This window comes from Homo sapiens, chromosome 1 (assembly GCF_000001405.40).
Source record: "Homo sapiens chromosome 1, GRCh38.p14 Primary Assembly".
Taxonomy (NCBI): Eukaryota; Metazoa; Chordata; class Mammalia; order Primates; family Hominidae; genus Homo; species Homo sapiens.
Window position 1 is genome coordinate 196347156 of NC_000001.11, and position 25917 is coordinate 196373072.

Below are 25917 nucleotides of genomic sequence, written 5' to 3' on the forward strand. Positions count from 1 at the left end.
TTCTTGAGGCTACTAGGATATTAAATGCCAAGTTTTTGTACCTTTATTGGTAATGCAGGACATTTTACATCCTATAGATCTATCTAAAAATCATTAATTTGTCTTCAGCTTACAGTTCTATCCCAATTTTCTATTTTTCTTATATCTTACTTTTTATATCTGGGTAGACTTAATTCAAGACTGATTTTGAATGAGGGAGAAATAATTACATAAATAAATAGTACATTTCCAAACTTCTTATAGCGGCAAATCTTTTAATTCTATCACCCAGGTGTGATTTGTACTCACCTATTTGTTTATTCCTTCCTCCATCATCAATTCTTACACCTTTAAAACAGTCCTAACTCACTTCCTTGTTTCCAGTGAATGCTTTCACAAATCCTTTTACAGTAATGTAGTAAGAGTAAATTTCAAAATCTCAAATTATTTCATGTCACTCTGCCATTGAAAATGCTAAAGGGCTTCCTTCTTCCATCTGATAAAGTTAAACTTTGAAAAATTGTCATTACAAAGCCCTGCTCACCTGTTCTATGACTGTCTTTCAGGTTTCATCTGTTACTTCTGTCTGCTTTCTCTTATGCACATCAGCCATTAGAAGTCTTTAATTTGTCCTGAACAAGACACTGTCTCTTATGTCTAGGATTTTCCACAATACTTTTCTCTCTACCTCCTATGGCGTATCCATTCTTGACCCTCAGCTTAATCATTACTTCCTCAGTTTTGCTGTAGTGTACTTCTCCTTTCATAATACTGTAACATTAAATTGTGTTAATTAATTCTTAATATCTTGCTTCCCTGTGAAATAAGCTTTATGAGAAAAGGGATCATGTATTGTTTACCACTATATCCCCAAGACATGACATCGGTTCCGACACAGAGGAAGAGCTTAATATATGTTTTGTTAAATGAACAAAGAATAATCTAACAATGTTCTTCATGCTCAATTACTAAATGTTCTGCTTTTCTAATTATATAATTCCTTTTGCCTTCACCAGAATAATGTTTAGGTCTAATGAATTACTTTCTCTATGATAAATGTGTCATTAGAATTAAAAAAAAAAAAACTGAGTTTCATAATCACTAATGGACATGAAGTGAATTTAATATTATATCAATTTAGTGTTGTAATTAGATAAAAATAGCAGCAATAAAAACATAAGAAATATTATGGACAAAAAGCGTAGAGTGGGAAGCTCATCGAAAATTATGAAAAACCATTTAATAAAGATTTAAGATGTGTTTACAGCAACTAAATGAACATTTAGGAGAAATAAGAGGCTTGTGTAATTACTAACTGTTAACCTTGAGGTACACTCCAACCTCTAAAATAGTATAATCTGTTATCTACTTCATACTCTTGTGAGACTGTTCTACTATATTGACTAGTCATTGAATAGTAAAGAATCCTTCCTAGCCAAGTTTATGTCCACATTTGTTTTCAAAATCATTGCTAGCTACAGCTACTTTTAATGATCTCGGATTTTAAAAAAAGTTAAAAAATAACAGAATATGGAGATGAAACATTATATTTTAAAAAACCAAATGGAGTACAGAAGAACAGTATATGTTTAATATTTGAAAGAATCCCGGCCAGGCACGGTGGCTCACGCCTGTAATCCCAACACTTTGGGAGGCTGAGGAGGGTGGATCTCATGATGTCGGGGGTTTGAGACCAGCCTGACCAACATGGAGAAACCCTGTCTCTACGAAAAATACAAAACAAAACAAAACAAAAAAAATGCCTGGGCGTGGTGGTGCATGCCTGTAATCCCAGCTACTCCAGCCTGGGCAACAAAGGAAAGAAGAGAAAGAAAGAATCCCCTAGATCTCTAGTCTCTCTGAATAAAGGGGCATGCTGTAGAGTTCATGCACCCAACAGCCAATACCAGTCAAGAGAGCCTTAGAAAATTTTTGATGAGACATCTTGGAAGGAAAAGAAGCTTGTGTTTATTATCCTTGACATTTTTATGCCCTCAACAAATGTCTTAATGGAAAAAAATTAAAAGGAAAGGATATTGGAAGACAAGTTGATTGCTTGGGAAAAAGGAAAAAAGCAGTCTAGTGAAGTAAATAAATTACAAATTCCGTGACTTTGTAGCCTTCAGCCATACAATTTCAGATCTCCCATTCCTATCATTTAATAATATTTTAGGCAGATCCCATTTCTTTAAAATCACATTGGAGCTCCATTTAAATCCAACCCAGGCCTATCAAATTTGAAGCTCCAATCTTACCAGCTCAGGCTTGTTCTCCCTGGGCTGTCGCTGCTCTGCAGGCTAATTCTAACTGCCATCATTGTTTTCTATGAAGATGGTAACCACATGATGCCTATCTTATAGAGACATGAAAATGTTTTTCGGGGAGTGAGAGGTGGGCCTCTGTATGACATCACTGGTAAGCAAGAAACTGCATTCCACTCTTCCTTATTTCCTAGCGGTACACCCTATAGACTCTAGCTTCTTCAGCTGCCTCACTTTGTGGAGTAGATGGGGTACTAGAAAGATAGGTCAAACCTTTTTATTTTATTTTTTTATTATTTTTTATTCTTTTATTTTTTTATTATTATTATACTTTAAGTTTTAGGGTACATGTGCACAATGTGCACGTTAGTTACATATGTATACATGTGCCACGCTGGTGTGCTGCACCCATTAACTCGTCATTTAGCATTAGGTATATCTCCTAATGCTATCCCTCCCCCCTTCCCCCAGCCCACAACAGTCCCCAGAATGTGATGTTCCCCTTCCTGTGTCCATGTGTTCTCATTGTTAAATTCCTATCTATGAGTGAGAACGTGTGGTATTTGGTTTTTTGTCCTTGCGATAGTTTACTGAGAATGATAATTTCCAATTTCATCCATGTCCCTACAAAGAACATGAACTCATCATTTTTATGGCTGCATAGTATTCCATGGTGTATATGTGCCACATTTTCTTAATCCAGTCTATCATTATTGGACATTTGGGTTGGTTCCAAGTCTTAGTTATTGTGAATAGAGCCGCAATAAACATACGTGTGCATGTGTCTTTATAGCAGCATGATTTATAGTCCTTTGGGTATATACCCAGTAATGAGATGGCTGGGTCAAACGGTATTTCTAGTTCTAGATCCCTGAGGAATTGCCACACTGACTTCCACAATGGTTGAACTAGTTTACAGTCCCACCAACAGTGTAAAAGTGTTCCTCTTTCTCCACATCCTCTCCAGCACCTGTTGTTTCCTTAATTTTTAACGATTGCCATTCTGACTGGTGTGAGATGGTATCTCATTGTGGTTTTGATTTGCATTTCTCTGATGGCCAGTGATGATGAGCATTTTTTCATGTGTCTTTTGGCTGCATAAATGTCTTCTTTTGAGAAGTGTCTGTTCATATCCTTTGCCCACTTTTTGATGGGGTTGTTTTCTTCTTGTAAATTTGTTTGAGTTCATTGTAGATTCTGGATATTAGCCTTCTGTCAGATGAGTAGGCTGCGAAAATTTTCTCCCATTTTGTAGGTTGCCTGTTCACTCTGATGGTAATTTCTTTTGCTGTGCAGAAGCTCTTTAGTTTAATTAGATCCCTTTTGTCAATTTTGACTTTTGTTGCCACTGCTTTTGGTGTTTTAGACATGAAGTCCTTGCCCATGCCTATGTCCTGAATGGTAATGCCTAGGTTTTCTTCTAGGGTTTTTATGGTTTTAGGTCTAACGTTTAAGTCTTTAATCCATCTTGAATTAATTTTTGTATAAGGTGTAAGGAAGGGATCCAGTTTCAGCTTTCTACATATGGCTAGCCAGTTTTCCCAGCACCATTTATTAAACAGGGAATCCTTTCCCCATTGCTTGTTTTTGTCAGGTTTGTCAAAGATCAGATAGTTGTAGATATGTGGCGTTATTTCTGAGGGCTCTGTTCTGTTCCACTGATCTATATCTCTGTTTTGGTACCAGTATCATGCTGCTTTGGTTACTGTAGCCTTGTCGTATAGTTTGAAGTTAGGTAGCGTGATGCCTCCAGCTTTGTTCTTTTGGCTCACAATTGACTTGGTGATGCGGGCTTTTTTTTGGTGCCATATGAACTTTAAAGTAGTTTTTTCCAATTCTGTGAAGAAAGTCATTGGTAGCTTGATGGGGATGGCATTGAATCTATAAATTACCTTGGGCAGTATGGCCATTTTCACGATATTAATTCTTCCTACCCATGAGCATGGAATGCTCTTCCATTTGTTGGTATCCTCTTTTATTTCATTGAGCAGTGGTTTGTAGTTCTCCTTGAAGAGGTCCTTCACGTCCCTTGTAAGTTGGATTCCTAAGTATTTTGTTCTCTTTGAAGCAATTGTGAATGGGAGTTCACTCATGATTTGGCTCTCTGTTTGTCTGTTATTGGTGTATAAGAATGCTTGTGATTTTTGTACATTGATTTTGTATCCCGAGACTTTGCTGAAGTTGCTTATCAGCTTAAGGAGATTTTGGGCTGAGACAATGGGGTTTTCTAGATATACAATCATGTCGTCTGCAAACAGGGACAATTTGACTTCCTCTTTTCCTAATTGAATACCCTTTATTTCCTTCTCCTGCCTAATTGCCCTGGCCAGAACTTCCAACACTATGTTGAATAGGAATGGTGAGACAGGGCATCCCTGTCTTGTACCAGTTTTCAAAGGGAATGCTTCCAGTTTTTGCCCATTCAGTATGATATTGGCTGTGGGTTTGTCATAGATAGCTCTTATTATTTTGAGATACATCCCATCAATACCTAATTTATTGACAGTTTTTAGCATGAAGGGTTGTTGAATTTTGTCAATGGCCTTTTTTGTATCTATTGAGATAATCATGTGGTTTTTGTCTTTGGTTCTGTTTATATGCTGGATTACATTTATTGATTTGCATATATTGAACCAGCCTTGCATCCCAGGGATGAAGCCCACTTGACCATGGTGGATAAGCTTTTGGATGTGTTGCTGGATTCGGTTTGCCAGTATTTTATTGAGGATTTTTGCATCAATGTTCATCAAGGATATTGGTCTAAAATTCTCTTTTTTGGTTGTGTCTCTGCCCGGCTTTGGTATCAGGATGATGCTGGCCTCATAAAATGAGTTAGGGAGGATTCCCTCTTTTTCTATTGATTGGAATAGTTTCAGAAGGAATGGTACCAGTTGCTCCTTGTACCTCTGGTAGAATTCAGCTGTGAATCCATCTGGTCCTGGACTCTTTTTGGTTGGTAAGCTATTGATTATTGCCACAATTTCAGATCCTGTTATTGGTCTATTCAGAGATTCAACTTCTTCCTGGTTTAGTCTTGGGAGAGTGTATGTGTCAAGGAATTTATCCATTTCTTCTAGATTTTCTAGTTTATTTGCACAGAGGTGTTTGTAGTATTCTCTGATGGTAGTTTGTATTTCTGTGGGATCAGTGGTGATATTCCCTTTATCACTTTTTATTGCATCTATTTGATTCTTCTCTCTTTTTTTCTTTATTAGTCTTGTTAGTGGTCTATCAATTTTGTTGATCCTTTCAAAAAACCAGCTCCTGGATTCATTAATTTTTTGAAGGGTTTTTTGTGCCTCTATTTCTGTCAGTTCTGCTCTGATTTTAGTTATTTCTTGCCTTCTGCTAGCTTTTGAATGTGTTTGCTCTTGCTTTTCTAGTTCTTTTAATTGTGATGTTAGGGTGTCAATTTTGGATCTTTCCTGCTTTCTCTTGTGGGCATTTAGTGCTATAAATTTCCCTCTACACACTGCTTTGAATGTGTCCCATAGATTCTGGTATGTTGTGTCTTCTCATTGGTTTCAAAGAACATCTTTATTTCTGCCTTCATTTCTTTATGTACCCAGTAGTCATTCAGGAGCAGGTTGTTCAGTTTCCATGTAGTTGAGCGGTTTTGAGTGAGTCTCTTAATCCTGAGTTCTAGTTTGATTGCACTGTGGTCTTTTTAAACTATCGGTTGTGCTTCAGGAAACTCACGCGCAAGAGTATGGGCTGCTCCACAGCAGTCTCTACTCCCTTACTTGTCATCTCCCTGACTTGCCATCTCCTTCTCTTTTTCCCCTCATGGTCAAATAATCTCAGGAAACTACATAAGCAGATGTCTAACTGGCAAATGAGATATTAGTTCCTACTGCAGGCAGACATCCTATTTTCCATGAGTAATAAGTAATTTTTTTGGACCTCATCTCACTGGGCTGGGGGTGGATGCATAACCACTGTGCTCCTCTATCTGTCACCCTCTCCGATCATCTCTTTTTATAGAAGGGTAAGAAGATTAGCAAATAAAATACTTGAATCATTTTTGTCCTCAGTTTTGGATTATAATCACCAAACCTGGGGCAACATGAAGGTTCCTCTCAGCATAGTAACTATTGGTTAGAAAAAAACAAACCGCAAAAAAGCTGTTTGTTCCCTTCTGTTTATTGTTTCCAAGGTAAAGATATTATCTGTTCCATTAACTTTTGGATTGTGTGTAAATCAATTTGTACAATTTTTTAAAACACGAGTTGCATATTTCTCACTTAACAATGATTGCATTTTCAAGGCAAATGGGTATTTATTGGCAGAAAGAATTAACTCACATATTAGTCTACTATACTTCAAAATAATCAACCAAGTGGAATAAGGGCTGTTAGCTAATAAGTAGTTGGATCTGTTTTTTGCGGAAATGTATTTCAATACAGACCTCTGAATGCAGTAAAAGAACCTTATATAGTTTTGTTTTTAAGAGTTTCCCCACATCAGTTTTTCCAAAGGGAGAAATAAAGGATTTAATTGGAATTTCCTGTCCTAGATACAATATTTTGAAGTCTTAATATGTTGCATACTCTGTTCTTATTTCAGGATATGCTGTACTACCCTGTTCAGTAAAGTAGTCCCACTTTAATAAAATAGCACAAAATCTTATTATACTGATGACTTCCTACGTTTTTATGAACCTGTATGTTTTTGTGAAATTCATATTAATAGATGTTAGAAAGTAGAATTTATTTTTTTTAATTTTCATATTTTCTTTATGTATATAAGAATGCCATCACACTAGAGGTAAACTAAAGAAAAGCCTTGGTGTTATGAAGCACTGCCTTTAAAATTGTAAAATATAATCATTAGTGGGAGTCTACCTCTTTCACAGCATTGTTTTAAGCACCTCTACACTGTAATCCTTGGATTTAGTTTGCTAGTACATTTTGTTCTCTTTGATCCTAAATAATGTAGCTAAACAGATGATAAATAATTTACTTCAGATTCACCAAAATTGACACAGATTTTCATATTAGTTACTTTTATATATTTATATTTATTATCAAACTAAGTTATCTTTGCATCAATGGGAATAAAGAGCACCTTGTCACAAGATAACTTTAATATATAATTCATTCTCCACCATGTAGTAAAAGTGTTTACATATATATAACTACAGAAATTTTTGCATATACGTAACTGTAGAAATATTTTGACATTTTTGGGAAAGAATTTCATTCCAGTTTGTACTTAAATAAGATTAATGAGTTAAATATAAATTTCTTTATTGATATTCTATTTTGAAGAAGATAAGAAAATGTATTAATTCACTATATTGATTGCAAGGAGATTTTAAAGGTCTAAAATAAGTCACCAAAGGGTTTAAATCTAATTAAAATTAATGCACTTTATTTAATTCCATAATCTATGGAAATAATGTCCATTTGGTTGCAATCAGTTTGTTGTTTGTATACTTCCCAGGGTGTTTTTTTGCACTCATGAATTACATTATTTCACAATTATTGCAAACTTTATTTAAAAATTAAAATATTTAAATGGTATTACAATTTTGCTTTTACTATCAATGTTAGGAATCCACAGTTTAGCCACTGTAGGTCAAATAAATAATTCTGACAAATCGTAGCCAGTTTCATTGGAAAGGTAAATATAATTTACGGTACGGGGGTATGTGGGGTACACAGAAGCTTCCAAAACAGATGAGTTTACAAAATAAACAGCTAACACATAACTATGTATTATATGAACATTTATTCTTGTAAGTCTGCAGATAGAACTGACTGTACGGATGCAGAATATCTAGAAAGAAAAGTACTTGAGAACTCCAGATAGAAGTAATAAAAAAAAAAAGACACCTTGGTCTACTAGGAAGATGCTTATGAATTCCAATTCTTGAACAGCAGAACTGCCCCAACATTGTAGGTCACCAAGCATCAAATTAGAAATCTGAGTTCTAAGATTAAAAGTTGCAGACACAATATAAAGCATGGTAATCAATTTTCTACCACCAGGTGGAACCGGAAAGCTGTTTGCCATTTTCAGGATAAGAAAAATGGCCATCAAAAGTGGAGAGAATAGGAAAATGCTAAATAGTTTTCAAGCATTATTGACAGTGATCATAAACAATGAACACCATTTTGAAAGGCATCTACTTCAATGAGAAATAAAAAAAGGTGCCAAAGTTAGATTTTAAAAGTTGATTGTACATGAAAGTAGCTTAAATTCACTGCCCTTAACGTTGGTTTCTCCTTCAATAACTCTCAACGGGTTTTTTGAAGTGTTCATTTAATTCCTGTTACCACCACACACAAAAAATACCCTAAAATTGTGTTAAGACTTTTCATCTACTTTTTAAACTGTCAGGTGAAAAAATAAATTCACTTGTAATACTGGAGCTGCATTCTCAGCTCTTTAACTCCATTATTAAATAAGTTATATCTCACTGATTTTCAACTGTTCTACTTCAGCATTAATAAAATTTTATAGCTACATTGTACTTTCCCCTCTCTCACACAGATCACAGCCTGCTTGCTTAGTGAATACCATATGCTTCGCTTCTATTCAAGTGCTTCATGCCATTGTGCATTTATATTACATTGCTATATCTGTACCTTTAGTTTAAAACATTGTAGTGAATTTCCCAGGCAAGATATATTCCATAAATATTAATACTTAGACATGTAGGAACTTACAAAGCTCCTATTGCTGTTATTTACATTTTATCATTTGCCCTTTAAAATAATTATAACTAGGACATTTCTGCTGTCTCTCCATGTTGTCATTTGATTTCTTCTCAAGTAATTAATTCTTACCATAACTAAAAATAATCTTCATTAGTAAAATAAAACCATTAGGGGAAATTTGTAATACATTCCAAATACATATAAAAGCAATATTAAATTTCATCCTGCCCTGCACTTAGTCTGAGTAATTGTCTATTAATCAGACTATTGGTCTGATTTGTGATCACAATGTATTCAAGCTTATATTCCCCAAAGTCCTAACATGGTACCTTACATAGTATGGATGCATATGATGATTATTTATAAAATGACTAAATAAATGACCAAACCATAATAATGTTTTAACTCTTAATTAAATGCTATTTTCTCATTCATAGCTTAAATTTTGATCAAAAAAAATTAACAACACATGCTTCCAAATCCTGAGCTTACTTCAGAGAGTTTTAAGGTATCTCTTAATAATATGTTACCACATTTACTACCCTATTATTGTAGGTACTACCTATTGACCTCCTCCTGTAAGATATAACAGAAAAGAATTTTTTCACAGTGAATTTCCCCAGAGTTGCTTATATAATCATATTGCTATTTTTAATTTCTATTTTTCAATGTTCTGACTCTAGTGTCTACAGAGCAAATTTAGTAAAGTAAACACATAAGTCAGGCCAGATATAGGATATAAGGAGTGTTCAGACTTGTGGTGAATTGGTTGTTGGATGTCTACTGAACCGCAAATTCGAAGAAAACAATTCAAAAGGAAAAAAAAAATGCTGACACCATGTTGGCAGCCAAATAAAACTTATCTACTGGTAGAATTTGTTTCATATGCAATCTCTGATTTACTAGGTACTTTTTAACTTACCATACTTAAAATTATGTTTCACTAACTATAGACAGAGTCTTGATTTTCTATTTTGGAACCTGGGGATGATATTAGCTACCCTCTTCATTTCCATATCTTCTCATTTTTATTTCAATATTTATTTGTTAAATCTTGAACATCGTTGAAGTTGTAAATATTGGTGTTTTGTTTATTAGCTATAAGTCTATGACTTCAGATTTAAAGTAGAGAGCCTGTGAGCAGTGATTACATTATTATGCGGATTGCAATAGAGTTCATTGAGAGTCAAGTGGAGGGCTTCAATTATATGACCTTATCTGCAGTTCCCTGAGTTATCCAGAAAGAATGTTCAAATAATTTCTCTTTACTTACTGACTACTTATTGCTCTATATTATGACATGTTTTAATTTGCTTTATCATAAACTCTTTATTTCTTGGAGTTTATGGTTTTGTTTTCCAGCTGGGAGAAAAAACAGATGCATTCCATTTGATATGTTGTTTTTAATTTATTCCAATCCCTTGTGGAGACTGAGTGCCTGACTTTTCTAATTTGGACCCCTTTTCAGTGGTAAATTTTAGGAATCATTGGTTCTAGCTGTGGTGCAGACATGTGGCCTGGGTTCCAGCAGTCAGATACAAATATAGGTGTTTGTTTTGGAATTGAGCTAAGGGAGGAAACAGGCAGGGTGGGAGGCATCCATTTTGTTGCAATGGATGGCTAGTAGAGGTAGTATTGTTCTGGGGGCTTTTAGAGGCCAAAGCTCCTTTATCTGGTTAGTTGCTTGGTGTGGTAGTGGGAATTTTTTATGCAAGTTTAACATAGAGAGTAACTTTATTGCTTTCCCAATGACTCTGTGACTATATTCCTTTATATTTCTCTTTATACTTAAAACTAGGCAATGGGTAGTCTTGTCTAAAGTTTAAAAGCTCTAATCAATACTGAATTTCTTTTTCCTCTTTCCTTTTCAGAAAATTTTCTTCATCATTAGTGTTTTTATAATTTGGCAGTGCTAAGTATCTAAGAGTGGTTCTTTTTTATTTATTACGACTCACACTCAGGAGACCCTAACAATTTACAGGCTTGAGTCTCTCCTCTTCTCTTATAATTTCTAACTATCATTTTCTCTAACCTCTCTTGGTGGAGCTGCTACCAAAGCAAATATCATCTCTTCTGGATTGATCTCCTGTGCTTCTAGTCTTTTTGCTTGTATATTCCAACTCTGCATTTTTATCTAAAATCCTAAATATTTCTATGAGATTATCTTCCAAAACAATTTTTTTTTTTAAATTTCAGCAATCACTCTTTTAATTTCAACAGGTCTTTCCTCTCCATTTCTCCACCACAACTCCTGTTCTGTTTGAATCTTGCTGGGAATAATAATTATCATTATTTTATTTTGGATTTCTGTATTTATTTGTTATGACCCTTTTATCCCCTTAATACTGAAGACAAAATCAGCACCTCCAGAATCATGTTCAACAGAAATTTAAGTTAAATATTTAAGCCTGTGGAAAAACAAAATCCATAAGATTTTATTCCTTTGAATAATCATCACCACCCTTTATAATACTTCAAAATAGTCTTCTAAATTATTGTTTATACTACTCTACTTTTCAAATACATGCTTGAATCTCTTTTTAATGTACTTTGTTTTCACTTACTGAAACTCCTTGTTTTGAAAATATATATTTGACTCTCTTTTTAAATATTATAGTTTTGATTTTTTTAAACAAATCTATGTTTACTAATGAGTGTAAGTAACACCCAACCTTAGCTATAGACCCAAAACAATTTCAGTACAACAGAACAGAAGTTGTTGCTCTCCTTTGGCTGGATATATTTCTCTCATCTCATCCTGCATGCTGATATTCAGCAAATAACAAGAGCCATATTTCAAATTTCGAGTACAAGATATAAGGACATTAAATGGATTCCTTTGTCTGTGAATATGATGTGTTAAATGGTAGGTTTTACCATATAGAAAGCAAAAAGAAATTAGACTACTCAATCTGGGGCCTCTCAAATACCAGATTATAGAGAACTGGAACCCAGCTCCAAATTATCTGCTAAGGTGGACTTCGTTTTATTTAAATTATTCTAGGAAAAGTTTTATTTTTCCCGAATGATAAATGTCTAGCCAGACTTAACTGCAGGGAAATAGTACTGTGATTAATGAAAGAGGTGTAAGTCATCGTTCAATATACATAACTTGAATTAATATTTGCCCTCTTTTTCTAGGCACCTTGTACCCTCAAAGTTTCATCGGGGACTGGCATTTTGTCTTACTATATCACCCTTTAAAGAAAGTCTGGGCCGTGATTTCCAACAGAAAATATTGCTTTGTTTACTTTCCATCTCCCAGAAATTCATTCAATTCTCACTTCTTCTATTTATTTTTCATCAATAAAAGCTTATAATTTATTAAAAATTTCTTTTTCCTTGTATCAATGGAGTCTCATGAGAGAGAGCAGATAAATGCATATGGTTCATAAACTACTTGGAACCAGGGCATAGACCCAAAGAATAAATCATCTCAATCTTTAGTGCATCTTATTTCATTTATTTAACTAATATTTGTTGAAGATGCATGTGTGAAAAACATTATGGAAGGTTTAAAGATAAGCAAGATATGTTCTCTATATTGAATGAAATTACAACCTCATAAGTAAAGAAAAAAATGAATAATACCTGCTCTGGCAGAACATAGTAAAATCTATGCAAGTTCATAGAAGGAAGAAATCACACTGAATTAAGGAGATTAAAAATATTCATGAAGAGATAGAATTTTTGATTTAACAAAACCTTCTAGGAAGGCAGAGGAAACAGCATTAAAAAAAGATGTAGAAGGCGGAAACCACAAAGTATATTTAGGATCATGTAATTTGGAGTACATGCTATATATAAGAGAATCAAGAGATAAGGATACAAAAATAAATTAGTACTAGAGCATAGACAGCCTTAAAGAATTAAGGCAGATATATTTAAATCTAATTTAATAATGAATGCTGAACTATTAAACACTTTCCAAGCATGGGACTGCCAGACAAGGGTCAACATCCAGATTCCTCAAAATATGTTTAATAGAATACTTGTTCCTGTTGACCTTTTAATGAGTCTGCCTAGGAAAACATTTCTCAGTCAAGTAGATTTTGGGATACATCAAATAAAATGCCTTTCCATATAGATTTTTAATACACATTGCCTTATATTTTTTAAAAAGTAAGATTAAGAACTTACTTTTTTATTATTTACTATTACTATTATTTTCTTTTCCTGTGATTACCTCCACTCAGATCTCCAGCCTTGTAGTAGGTTTTTTTTTGTTCTTGTTTGTTTGTTGCCACAGGAGAAATGGAGAAAGGACAACTGGGGATTGCATATCATCTTTCTTAATTCCCACGACTAAAGAAGCAGGCTTCTGTGGAAATGGCAGAATTATTTGCATAGAGGCAACAATAGCAGTTGGTAAATGTGTTTCAGTAGAACCCATGGTGTCCCCACCTCCAGGGTGTTCCTCAGCCAAGTGTGTCCCCCAACAATTCATATGTTGAAGCCCTATCCCCCACCCAGTATGTCAGAATATGACTGTATTTGGAAATGGGCTCTTTGAGATGTGATTAAATTGAGACTGTTGAGGTGGGCCCTATTACAATCTGACTGGTGTCTTCCGAAGAAGAGGAAATTTGAACACACAAAAGACATCAGGAATGTGGGCGCAACAGAGGAAACCCCATGTGAGGACACAGCGAGAATACAGCCATCTGCAAGCCAAGGAGAGAGGACTGGGCAGAAACCAAACATTGATCTCGGACTCCTAGCCTCCAGAACTGTGGAAAAAATAAACTTCTGTTGTTTAAGCCACCCAGTCTGTGGTAGTTTTCTATGGCAGCACTAGCAAACGAATACTATGGCCGCAAAGATCCATGTAAGTTAGAGCAGAATAGTGCAAGGTGGGAGAGTTTTAGAAGAGCAAGTATTAACCATTATGTAGTATCCTGATGAAGTGAAATTCATATCCTACAGAGGAAAGAAAGGGAATGATATGGGATAGAAGTAAGAAAAAGGCCTTTCCATGTTTGGAAATCCACTCAGCAGAAAGTTCCACATTTCTTCCCAGGACATAGTTAGTTGAACAGCAGCCTATGGAGCGGATATGCAGGGGCATGAAGTAGGTTAAAAGAACCGGTTGAGTTAGCCAGATAAGAATCACCACAAGCAACGCCCTCTCCAACAGACACCAGACACACACACACACACACACAAAGCATCCTACACTCCCTGCCCACACAAACAGAGGAAGATGAGAGTTTGCCATAGATAGTGTCTGTATATATCTTTCTCATACATCCATTGATGAGGTAATGGATATGTCCCGAAGGTTACCTGAGGGAGCCTAAGGAGACACCAGAATGATGCAATTAGACAGCCAGAGATGACTGAGAAGCAGTTGGATCCCAGGAGCCCATTCATAAAAAAGCTCTGTGAAGTAGTAAGTAGGGCAGATGTGTGTCCTCAGAACAAGCAGTAGGCATTGGACTTATGGCTCACCAGGAAGCTTGCCAGAAGATGACATTAGCTGTTGTCAGCAGCTAGATAATAAGTAGCTACACTGTCTACCTGAGAAGTTTATGAGACCAGAATGAGTCATGGACCCATTGATAAAGGGCGCTTCCCCACTTTGCTGCAGTCAGAAAGTCACCAGGTAGCTGGTGGTGTGGGGTAATAGGAGTGGGAAGGAGATGTGGGGTTTGGAAAAGAAGTCTGTTAATACTTTCAAATCTGACTGAAACCACTCAAAAACATACTTTAATCTATTAATGAAAACAGAGGCTCAGATTTAAGAAAGTTATATCAAATAAAGTTCAAGTTGTATATGCCAACTAACAATTAGCAAATTTATAGCAATCAATCACATTAAGACTTTAAATTGTGTGTGTGTTTGTGAGTGTGAGTGTGTGTGTGTGTGTGTTTCACTCTAAAGGGAAATCAAAATGCCTCTCATCCTCACTGGTACTCTATTTTATCCACCTAAGGAGGAGGGTGATGGACTAGATTTGCCAGGTTACAAAATATAGTTCTCTGTCACAGTTTTTGAGTGTGAAACTTCCAAGGGAACTAAAAATAGTTCATTTGAGCATGCTCCCCCACTTTTTTTGTTTGTTTGTTCTTGCTTTCTTGCAGTCAGTGTGGTAATTATAATCCCTATTACTTTTGAGAAACTTTCTCCTCCTCCCTCATGACCGCTGATTCCCTGGGGCTTCTGTGAGGAGTTTAGGATTAAAGGGAAACAAAGTCTTCCTGTCTTCCTGTCATTACCTCCTTCCTTGCTTTCCTCCTGCCTTGTGGTCTTTCTCAGTCCTTCTTTTCTGGTGATGATAAATGACAATGGATTTTTATTTTCCCTTATCACAGTGTTTAGAATTGGAGATTCTGGATGCCGGAGCATGACAGACAAGGAAGATCTCATGGCTAATTTGCATCTGAGTTCATTAGCCTAATGGTCAGAGAAACATTGAAGGCTTCTGTCTGGTGTAGTTCAGATCCTTAAAAGTTCTGCTTGGAATTTGGGTTCAAGGCAGTAAGAGAAAAAAGCATTGCTTTACCTGACATTTGCTGGCCTTTCTTTTCTTCCAAATACATACTTTCATAAAGGTTTTGCTGAGGGAAATCCTCCAGTCAAAATACTATCTCCAAATATTTAAAACCTCCTCGAGTTAAGCTAAAATGTTTTAAAATAAAGTTTTAATTCCTCAGTCTTTCTTTGTTGAAGACTTGAAATTTTAAAGAGTTTCAGGCAGTCATTTTGTAGGATGCTCTCAATATTTCACATGATTAGAAAATGTTGGCAGGAATACCAAAGTAACTTCTTAGTGCATCATATGAAAGGCAACATGAAAACATCTTTATTGATTGTGGTTATCTTGATCCCTTGGTTTAGATGGTGTCTCCCAGGTTCCTCCATGATAAAGTTACAAATTTTCCCTTAATAGTTATTAACTATTTTAGGGAGGCATGTCAAAAGCACACAATTATACTAGTTCTCCTCAAACTTTCACCCCTAATATTAGTACTCATTGAGGAGTCACAATTATTACTGTAGTGTTTGCCTAATGGTGACTTCATATTTTTCTCTTTCCTTCTATATTTATTAGAATTCTTCAGTAAGAAAGAGCTATGCCTTATCCCTTATTTACTTATTTATATTAGTATGGACTACTGGATGTTTATTTTATTTTATGGGCTAAAACCTAATATCATTATTTATTTTGTGGCCCAAAAGATTCCATCTTAGCCCATTAGGACTTCCTTCATGTTGTTTCTTTTGACCAGCCCCCATATAATTCTGAGCAATTCCTTACTTTCTGCCACCACAACATTTTTCAGGCTTATCTTGTATTTTCCCTGCCCCATTCCTGGAATCAACCAATACTCCAAGGAGCCCTGGATATTTATATTGGAGGATGATGTTTACCAATCAAGATCTGAGCCTTAAGTGTTGCTAGGATTTGAATATGTTCCCTAAAGTTCATGTGTTGGAAACTTAATGCCCAATGCAACAGTGTTGGGAGGTGGGGCCTAATAAGGCCTTATTAGTTCATAGGGCTCTGCCTCATAGAATGGATTAACATCCTATGGCTGGAGAATGGGTTTGTTATAAACATGAGTTCACCCTCCTCATTAGCTCCCTTTACACATACTGTCTTGGCCTTCTGCCTTCTGCCATGGGATGACACAGCAAGAAGGCCCTCACAAGATTCTGGCCCTGAATTTTGGACTCCCCAAGAAAATAAATCTGTCTTTATAAATTACTCAGTCTCAGGTATTCTGTCGTAGCAACACAAATTTACTAAGACATGTTTGCTCATTGCTACTGAGATGTCATTGCCTCTGTTCTGTCTCAGAGACATGGCCAGGAATTGTAAGTATATATACTAGCAAACATACATAGAGGCACATCTGTATTTCTGTATCTATCTTTTTTGTTTATATACATTGAAAATCATGAGTTTATACTGATTCCAATCTCATCCACAAGAACTGTCACAAATTGGAGGAGGTTAAAGAGAAATAACAACTAAAGGCAATGCAGGATCTTAGAGTTGTGGAACAGAAAATAGACATTAATGAAAAAAAATAAAATTCAAATAAGGCCTATAATTTAGTCAATAGTATTGTATCAGTGTTAACCCCTTCTTTTGATAATTGCACTATGATTATAAAAGATAAATGTTAAGGGAAGTTTATGTATGGAAAGCGTATGTGTGAACTCTACTGGTTTTCCAAATTTTGTGTAAGTTTAAAATTGGTTCAAATTAAAAGGTTTTTAAAATGTCATTAAAATATGTTTAACCTAATATTTCCAAACTTCCTTGAATACGTAATTTTATTTTTCAGGAAAGGTATTAACACCCATCCAAAAACAATAATTTTGCCTTGTAACACAAATTTGGCAACCATATGAAATTACAGAATCACTTTTTATACAGCATACACACAAATTAATTACATTGCATTTTGGCTTAATGTGTTTCTACTGTGGCTGCAGATTTTGCAAAATTATTCAGCAATCTCTCTGGTGAAATAGTTTTTTGAGGAATCCTAAAATTCCCTTAAGCTTAAATGCTCATGATAGAAAACTGAATAAAACCACCTTTCTGTAATTTTACACTTAGCAATTGAATACAGGCATAATGAAATCTTGAAAGCTAAGCAAACAAATGTAAATCAGGTATTCTGTTTTTCTTTTCTATTTTTAAAGATACCAATTACTTTGAACACAACAGATAAACTTAACAGCTAATGTTTATAAGAATTTTCATTTCACAAAGAGCATTGCAGCAATATCTAGATCTGCTGTTTGAACTTGTTTGTGAAAATAACATACTTTCCCAATAAGTTAATGAAGAACTTCTTTTGAAATAACCACCTCTGAGGAACATATTTACAATGTTGCAACTTTTTAAAATTAATTCTGCGCCATGTAAAAGCAAATTTGCTTCCCCTTACTTTTAATATATTTATAAAATATAGCATTGGAATTCTTAAATCTTTTCATCCATTCAGAGTACTTCAAATATACATTCATATCATAGACCAACTGATTAGTATTTGGAACCTTCTCTTTCTTTGGTCTCATAAATCAAAATAACGTTATTTCAAAATATCCTTGTAATAATGTGTTATCAGTATTTGAATCTAATAGCAACTATTATTTGCTTATACTAATAGAAGTTAACAATTATTTTCTCTGATACCTATATTTTAATCTTTATGTCTTCTGATTAATTTTCAAATAAATTTGTCTTATTTAAGGCCTCTTCAATAATTCTTTCTTCAATTCTTTATATTGTTCATTTCAAATGGTCACTAAAAACATACACCTTTTAAGCAGACAAAAGAGTTTTATACTTCCTGTAACTCATGGTGGCTTTCTTCTATAAAAATCTTCTATGACTGAATAATATATCACTTGAAAATAAAAAGGTTCAACATTATAGGTATTTAAATCACCTTTTTCTCAAAATACCTTTAATCCTAATTTCTGTAATATTTAAGGCATTGAATCAAAAGATTGGCCATGGTTAAAAACATGTTGTCGCTGTTCTTGCATCCTGTTATCTATTTGTTTGTTAATGTCATTGTTCCAAAAAAAATCTAAATAAAATTATGAACATTTATTCTCTTATAGTCATGAAATTGTGATGTTTTGGTATAGGCTTAGGAATATTCTGATTTAGATATAAAATACAAACATGCAAGGCATGGGACTTTTTCTTCTACTCCATCACAAATACAACATGTGGTTCTGGGTATCCTGTTTTGTCTTCTCCTGTCTCTCTCAAACTGCCAATTTTGACACCAAATTAAAAGATTGACTCTTACTTGTATAGATTCTGACTGATATAGATTAACAAAGCCAATGAGACAACTAAAGACCAATTACTATGGTTGGGCATGGCTACATAATTTTCAAAGTAATCCTGTGAGTTGACTTCATCCAGTTTCAAGGCTTTAAATGGGGTTTATATGGTCATGACAGCCAAATTTGTATGTTCATCAACATTCTTATAATGGCCTAGGAGACGCTACATGACCTGGCCCATTGTTTCTTTTCAGATCTCAACTTTTACTACCTTTCTCTTCCTTCACTCTGCTCTATTTATGCATGTCTTCTTTATTTACTTATTTATTTAATTATTATTTTTTTTTTTTGAGACAGAGTTTCGCTCTTTTTGCCCAGGCTGGAGTGCAATGGCGCGATCTCAGCTCACCGCAGCCTCTGCCTCCTGGGTTCAAGGGATTCTCCTGCCTCAGCCTCCTGAGTAGCTGGGATTACAGGCATGCACCACCATGCCAGGCTAATTTTGTATTTTTAGTAGAGATGGGGTTTCTCCATGTTGATCATGCCAGGCTCAAATGCCTGAACCCACATGATCTGCCTGCCTCGGCCTCCCAAAGTGCTGGGATTACAGGCGTGAGCCACCACACCCGGCTTTTGCTTGTCTTCTTGATGTTCCTCAAGTCATCAGATGTGCTTGCATCTCAGAGTCTCTGCTTTTCCTTTTGCCTGGAAAACTTATATCTCAGATATGTGCATAATTATTACTTTAATTTGCTCAGGTCATTGTAAATACCAACTCCTTGATGAAGTCATACAATGACTGTATCATTTAAATTAAACCCACTGCTACATCCTTGTGCTCTTCATTGCCCTTCCCTACTTAATTTTTCTCCATAGCACTACTGCCAGCAGAAATATTTGTATTTTACTTGTTTATTATTGTTTATTTTGTCTCTCCAATTAGAATAAAAACTCCCCAAGAGCAGAGATTTTTCTGGTTTTTTAAGAACACCTGAAATCATTCTGTCACACAGTGAATATTCAATAACTAATTGCTAAATAAGTGAATAAATAAATGGATTAGGTAAAAATTATTATCTCAACTTTCCATATAATATGATTGAAAATTAAGTGGAGTAGGTTGGTTCAATGTTAATTGGGTTTGGCAGTTAATGAGTCAACCATTTCTGTCTGCCAAAACCAGTGTTCTTTCCTCTATGCCACATTTCCTTCCTGAATTTGCAACACGCCTACTACAAAACAGAAAGAATTTTGTTTGTGATTAGGATTTGTGATTCCTGAAGAGTATAATTTCAGCTGCTGCTTTACTGAGATAAATTTCTTTATCATACATTTTATAATAATAATCATATGACTTGTTTTGGTTTGTGACAGGAAACATTAAAATTCAGGTAAAGAACTATAAAAAAAAATCATGTAGTAACTATACCATAGGTATACGTAATATTTATTTTAGCAGAATGATTGCATCACCAAATTTGAGCTCTCTCTTTAATGACTGTCAATGACCTTCGTGGTACTTCACATGTAAAACTTAGGTGATCTCAGTTATTTGTATGATTCAATATATTCCCTTCTAAGATCCTTTGATTTACCATTTCGTTCGTATGATATTTAATCTAATGATTTTTAAAAAGTAAACATCCAATTCTAAATAAATGTATGCATATGTTTGTATGTAAATATATGTGTAGATGTATATGTACTTTATAAATATTTACATAACTAACAGATACAACTAGAATCAAGCCTACATTTGAATATGTGAAATATATCCTTTATGCAAAATATGAAAGCATAGTTTCTTTGCTATGTATAATTTTTAATGATAATCACAAATCTGTGACAAAATGACAGAAACTGTATTGACTACTCCAAAATGTTTTATAAACCACTCTTCCCTTGCCTTTCTCTATTAAAAAGCTATAAATCTAAAATACTTAATGTTTCAGGATGCTTGAGATATGTCTGGAAACATGTGACAGGGCTCTGACCAATTATATGTTAAAAGGCAATGAGTGGGACTCATGGAAAGCCTTAAATATAGCCTCAGTTGGCAATAATCTGCCCCTTTGACATTCTTCCATCTTCTTACCTAGAAGACTAGCCTGAAGCAGAGAATGCATTTTACGATTACAATAAGAGAATCCTGAAGGGTAAAGACTATAGGGTAAAGATGTTGGAATAAGAAAACAGAACAACGTGCTCTGATGACGTCACTGAGTCAGATAGCCTGCTCTGGATGCTGAACCCATAGTTTTTAAGGTGTAAACTAAACACCACCCCTACTTTCAGTGAGATATTACATTACATGGGGCAGAACACATTTTTAACTAATGCAATATTCCTTATTCCACAGAAATAAAATTAGTGTAAATCACCACTTGCCTCACCCATTACTTCCTAAGGAATAAATGATTTTCCCTTTATCATGCAGAAGCATTCCAGTCTCCGGATCTCATCCTTTACTCCCTCACTGCGTTTTCAATCTCTTTTTCTTTAGTGGTACTTAAAATTTAAACATTAAAAGCAAACAAAAATAGATAAATACTTGTGTACATAGAAAAAGCTTTCCTTAACATTTCTGTGCAATAGGACTTCCATTATTTTTCTTTCTTCGATTAATGAACAAACCTAATGAAGTAGCAATCTCCAACCACACTTCATTTCTTATCATTCCTTAATTTGTTCATATTTTCTCACAATAAGAAAATCCCCATTGTAGAAATTGTTTTTTCAGAAGTCCTCAGAGAACAGCCTCCAAAATGCTTGCTCAGTCTTAATCTAGAATCATCTATGTTGTTAACAATCCAGTTCCTTTTAGAAATCCTATCTCAGTGTTATTTTATTATGCTATACTATATTTGCTTTCCTTTTCTTCACTCTATTTCCTAGAATTAATAAATTCCTAGAAAATAGTCTCAAATTGTCATTTCTCCCAAATCCCTACTACTTCCTCCTTCACATTTGTGAGCCTGACTGGCACGATCCACCACCTCAGGAACCAAGCGTGCAGCAATTCCTACCACATTATGTCTTCATCAGAAAGCAAATACATCCAATATCAAACCACTTTTCCTTCTGCCAACTATGTACTTCATTATTTTCTACTGTCCAGTGTCAATAAGTGAGGAGATTTTCTTTTTTTCCCCCTCTCTCTTTTCTACACTCATATCTAATCAGTGGCAAACTTCTGTGAATTCTAACTAAGCAGTATTTTTCTTATCAATTCTCTCTTTTTCTTACCCCTCGATTATTACTGAGGTGAAAAAGATTACCTCATGGATGGGACTAATTAAGTATTGTGAAAACAAATTGAAAGACAAAGAAAATGAATTGCTAAATTTTTAAAATTCTGATAAAGCTGAAATGTAATCAGGATGGGCCAGTTGAATGTTAACAAACTGGACTGATAATCCAGCATTTCCTTGTGGAAATCATTATAGTCCATGTTCAAAGGTGATTTTTTCTAAAGAATAAATTTTTTTTTATTTATTTTTGTTTTTTTATTATTATACTTTAAGTTTTAGGGTACATGTGCACATTGTGCAGGTTAGTTACATATGTATACATGTGCCATGCTGGTGTGCTGCACCCACTAACTCGTCATCTAGCATTAGGTATATTTCCCAGTGCTATCCCTCCCTCCTCCCCCCACCCCACAACAGTCCCCAGAATGTGATGTTCCCCTTCCTGTGTCCATGTGATCTCATTGTTCAATTCCCACCTATGAGTGAGAATATGTGGTGTTTGGTTTTTTGTTCCTGCGATAGTTTACTGAGAATGATGATTTCCAATTTCATCCATGTCCCTACAAAGGACATGAACTCATCCTTTTTTATGGCTGCATAATAATCCATGGTGTATATGTGCCACATTTTCTTAATCCAGTCTATCATTGTTGGACATTTGGGTTGGTTCCAAGTCTTTGCTATTGTGAATAATGCCGCAATAAACATATGTGTGCATGTGTCTTTATAGCAGCATGATTTATAGTCCTTTGGGTATATACCCAGTAATGGGATGGCTGGGTCAAATGGTATTTCTAGTTCTAGATCCCTGAGGAATCACCACACTGCGAAGGACATGAACAGACACTTCTCAAAAGAAGACATTTATGCAGCCAAAAAACACATGAAAAAATGCTCACCATCACTGGCCATCAGAGAAATGCAAATCAAAACCACAATGAGATACCATCTCACACCAGTTAGAATGGCAATCATTAAAAAGTCAGGAAACAACAGGTGCTGGAGAGGATGTGGAGAAATAGGAACACTTTTACACTGTTGGTGGGACTGTAAACTAGTTCAACCATTGTGGAAGAATAAATTTATTTTCATTGAGAATAAACTTATTTTTGACAAGATTGCCAAATAAATAAAAATGCTAATTTAATCAACAATAAGACATACCACTGCCAAGAGCACAGAACACTCAAATGTAAATAAAGTGAGCGGGTCTGAAAAATGAGGAAAAAAATTGAGAAGCATTAAAATACAGAATAAACTCTCTAAAAATATAAATTACACAGTTCTATGAAGTCATCTAATTTATTTATGACTGACAGATCAGCTAGAACTGGAATTAACATAATAACAAATAGAAAAAGAAAATGTTATATTGTAAGAGTTTTAATCAGCCTTGGGAATTGTATTAGTCAGAGTACTGGGTAAGTTGCTGGAGAGACCACTTCATGCCCACTAGGATGGTTATGATAAAAAAAAGCGCGGATAATTACGAATACTGCTGATGATGTAAAGAAAGTAGCATCCTGATATATTGATGATGATAATCAAAGTGCTATTGGAAAAATATTCTGACAGTTCCTAAAGAAGCTAAACAGAGTGACCATACGACCCAGCAATTCTACTCCTAGATATAGACGCAAGAAAATGAAAGCCTATGTTACACAAAAACCTTTTCACAAATGTTAACAGCAGCATTGTGAAAATGTTAGAAGCAACCCAAATACCCACCAACTGATGAGTGGAAAAATAAAATGTGATATATCCATGCAATGGAATATTATTCAGTTGTAAAAAGGAATAAAGTGCTGGTGCATATTACAATATGAATGAACCTTGAAAAACATTATGTACAATGTTCAACATTTGGGTGACCAGTACACTAGAAGCCCAATCTCTACCATTATGCAATGCACCCAAGTAACCAACATGCACATATATCCCCTGAATCTAAAGCAAAACCAAATTATTTAAAATTCTTTACGTTCATTTATTTACTGTATTACCAAATATACTAAAATGATTTCAGCTGAGCCTAATGGCTCAGGTCTGTAATTCCAGCACTTTGGAAGGCCAAGTCAGATGGATCACTTGAGCCCAGGAGTTCGAGACTAGCCTGGGCAACATGGCAAAATCCCGTCACTACAAAAAAAAAAAAAAAAAAAAAAAAAAAAAGCCTGGCATGGTGGTTCATGACTATAGTCCCAGCTACTGTGGAGGCTGCAGTAAATCTATAAAAGCAGAAATAGATTGTGGTTGCCTAGGGCTGCAAGAATTGGTGGGGGGAAAATGTAGGGTGATGCTAAAGGGTAGATAATTTCTTTATGTGGTTCTGGAATCATTTAATGGTGATGGTTGGATAATTCTATGAATATACTTTTAACATATTGAATTGTACACTTTAAATGGGTGAATTGTATAGTATGTAAGTTTTATTTCAATAAATCTACTATAAGAAGTTATTATGGTGGATGATAGCATTTACTGTGACACAGTTGTAAAATAATTTTGCAAGTCACTCTTATTTAAAGGAAATCCTTAATTATATAACAATGTTTTCAACAACATTGCTTTCTTTTTTAATAAGGCAAAATTCATTAGAGTATGTTGGGAAACGTCTTATTCTAAGGATCACTAAAATCTTTTTTTAACTTATGTGAAGTATAATTCTTTTTCACCAGGCAATACTGTTTGTCAATAAATAATATTTACTAGGAGATGCACAACGAAATTTAACTTCAGTCATGAGTAATGAGCTGTGTTATATAGTGTTTATGGGACTTATTTTATCACTCATGTATACAACAATGAAGTTGCCTAGATAGTCATCATTACAGTTGTCTGAGTCTGTACGAAGACGTTACGGAAAAATAATGAAGACACTTGATGAGTTCTATGAATGTTCACTTAATTGGTGTTAAAATAATTTTTAGTACTTTATTTAATTGCATCAAAATGACAAACACTTTCTGCAAAGAAGATAAACGTCATTCCTAATCCTGTTACATCCTTCCTATTGCACAGATTAAAGGCTTGTAAGTATATAGAATAGAAATATTCCTATTCACAACTTTGAGAAAATTGCTCCTAAGAAACTTTTACCATCCCAATTAGGCAGTCAGAAGTAAGACAGTAAAATCTAATTTATATAACACTGAGTATTTACTACTTTTAAATTAACAACTTATCCATCTATAAATAAATCTCAAAAAAGAATTTTCCTTTTTCTGGATTTATTTGATTTGACACTTCACCTAAACAATTATCAATTAACTTACTTAATATGAGTAATCATAACCACTAGCATAAGTGGAATTTACTTCGAAAATCAACATTTTGTCTGAAATATAAGATTAGAAATATGACAAGATATGAAATGAAGTACATTTGTCTCTTTAAATAAGAGCAATGACTATGTTCACTAGTTATATTTTCTTTGATCATCCTAGTCAAAAACAACTTCTGTATTTCATAAAACTCTATCAAAATAAACAAACAAGAATAAAAAAGGTTCTAATGGTACAACTTTCTCCAACCTTGAAATGCATATAAAAAGTGATTTATACTGCATTAGCTAATTTTATACAACTACTTTGTTATTATTCTATTATAAAATTGCCATTTTGACATCAATTGTGTACATTAAGCTTTCAGATAAAACTTACCTCAGGAACAGAAAAATTTGACTTTAAGTTCTTATACTAATAACTGTGAGAATCCTTTAATTAAATGTTTCATTTGCTGCAGAAGTATTCATCTTTAAAATAAAAATAATGTCCTAATCCTAGGCCTAACAAATGATGCCGGCACTTAGAATTTACTAATAAGTTGCAACAAACTATCTCAAGACTACTGAGAAAAGACAGCAAATTACTCACTTTTTGTATGTCTTGGATTCTTTAACATGTCTTTATTTATCTACCAGATAAAGATAACTCACACAAATTCAAGTATAGGTACATATCTAGCTGTATACGTAGGCCTTCTATATTTTTAAA

General features: G+C 34.5%; 1 protein-coding gene and 1 long non-coding RNA gene across 15 annotated transcripts in view; both read right to left on the reverse strand.

Annotated features, from left to right (window-relative positions):
- The window catches only part of KCNT2 (potassium sodium-activated channel subfamily T member 2), a 382662-nt gene that overhangs the window by 121377 nt on the left and 235368 nt on the right, over positions 1-25917 (reverse strand). The gene's annotated exons all lie outside the window — the stretch shown is intronic.
- Positions 383-24023, reverse strand: LOC124904597 (LINE-1 retrotransposable element ORF2 protein-like). Its single transcript, XR_007067045.1, has 2 exons — positions 14192-24023; positions 383-13226 (listed from the first exon to the last, which is right to left on the reverse strand). It is a non-coding gene; the product is annotated as an LINE-1 retrotransposable element ORF2 protein-like (long non-coding RNA).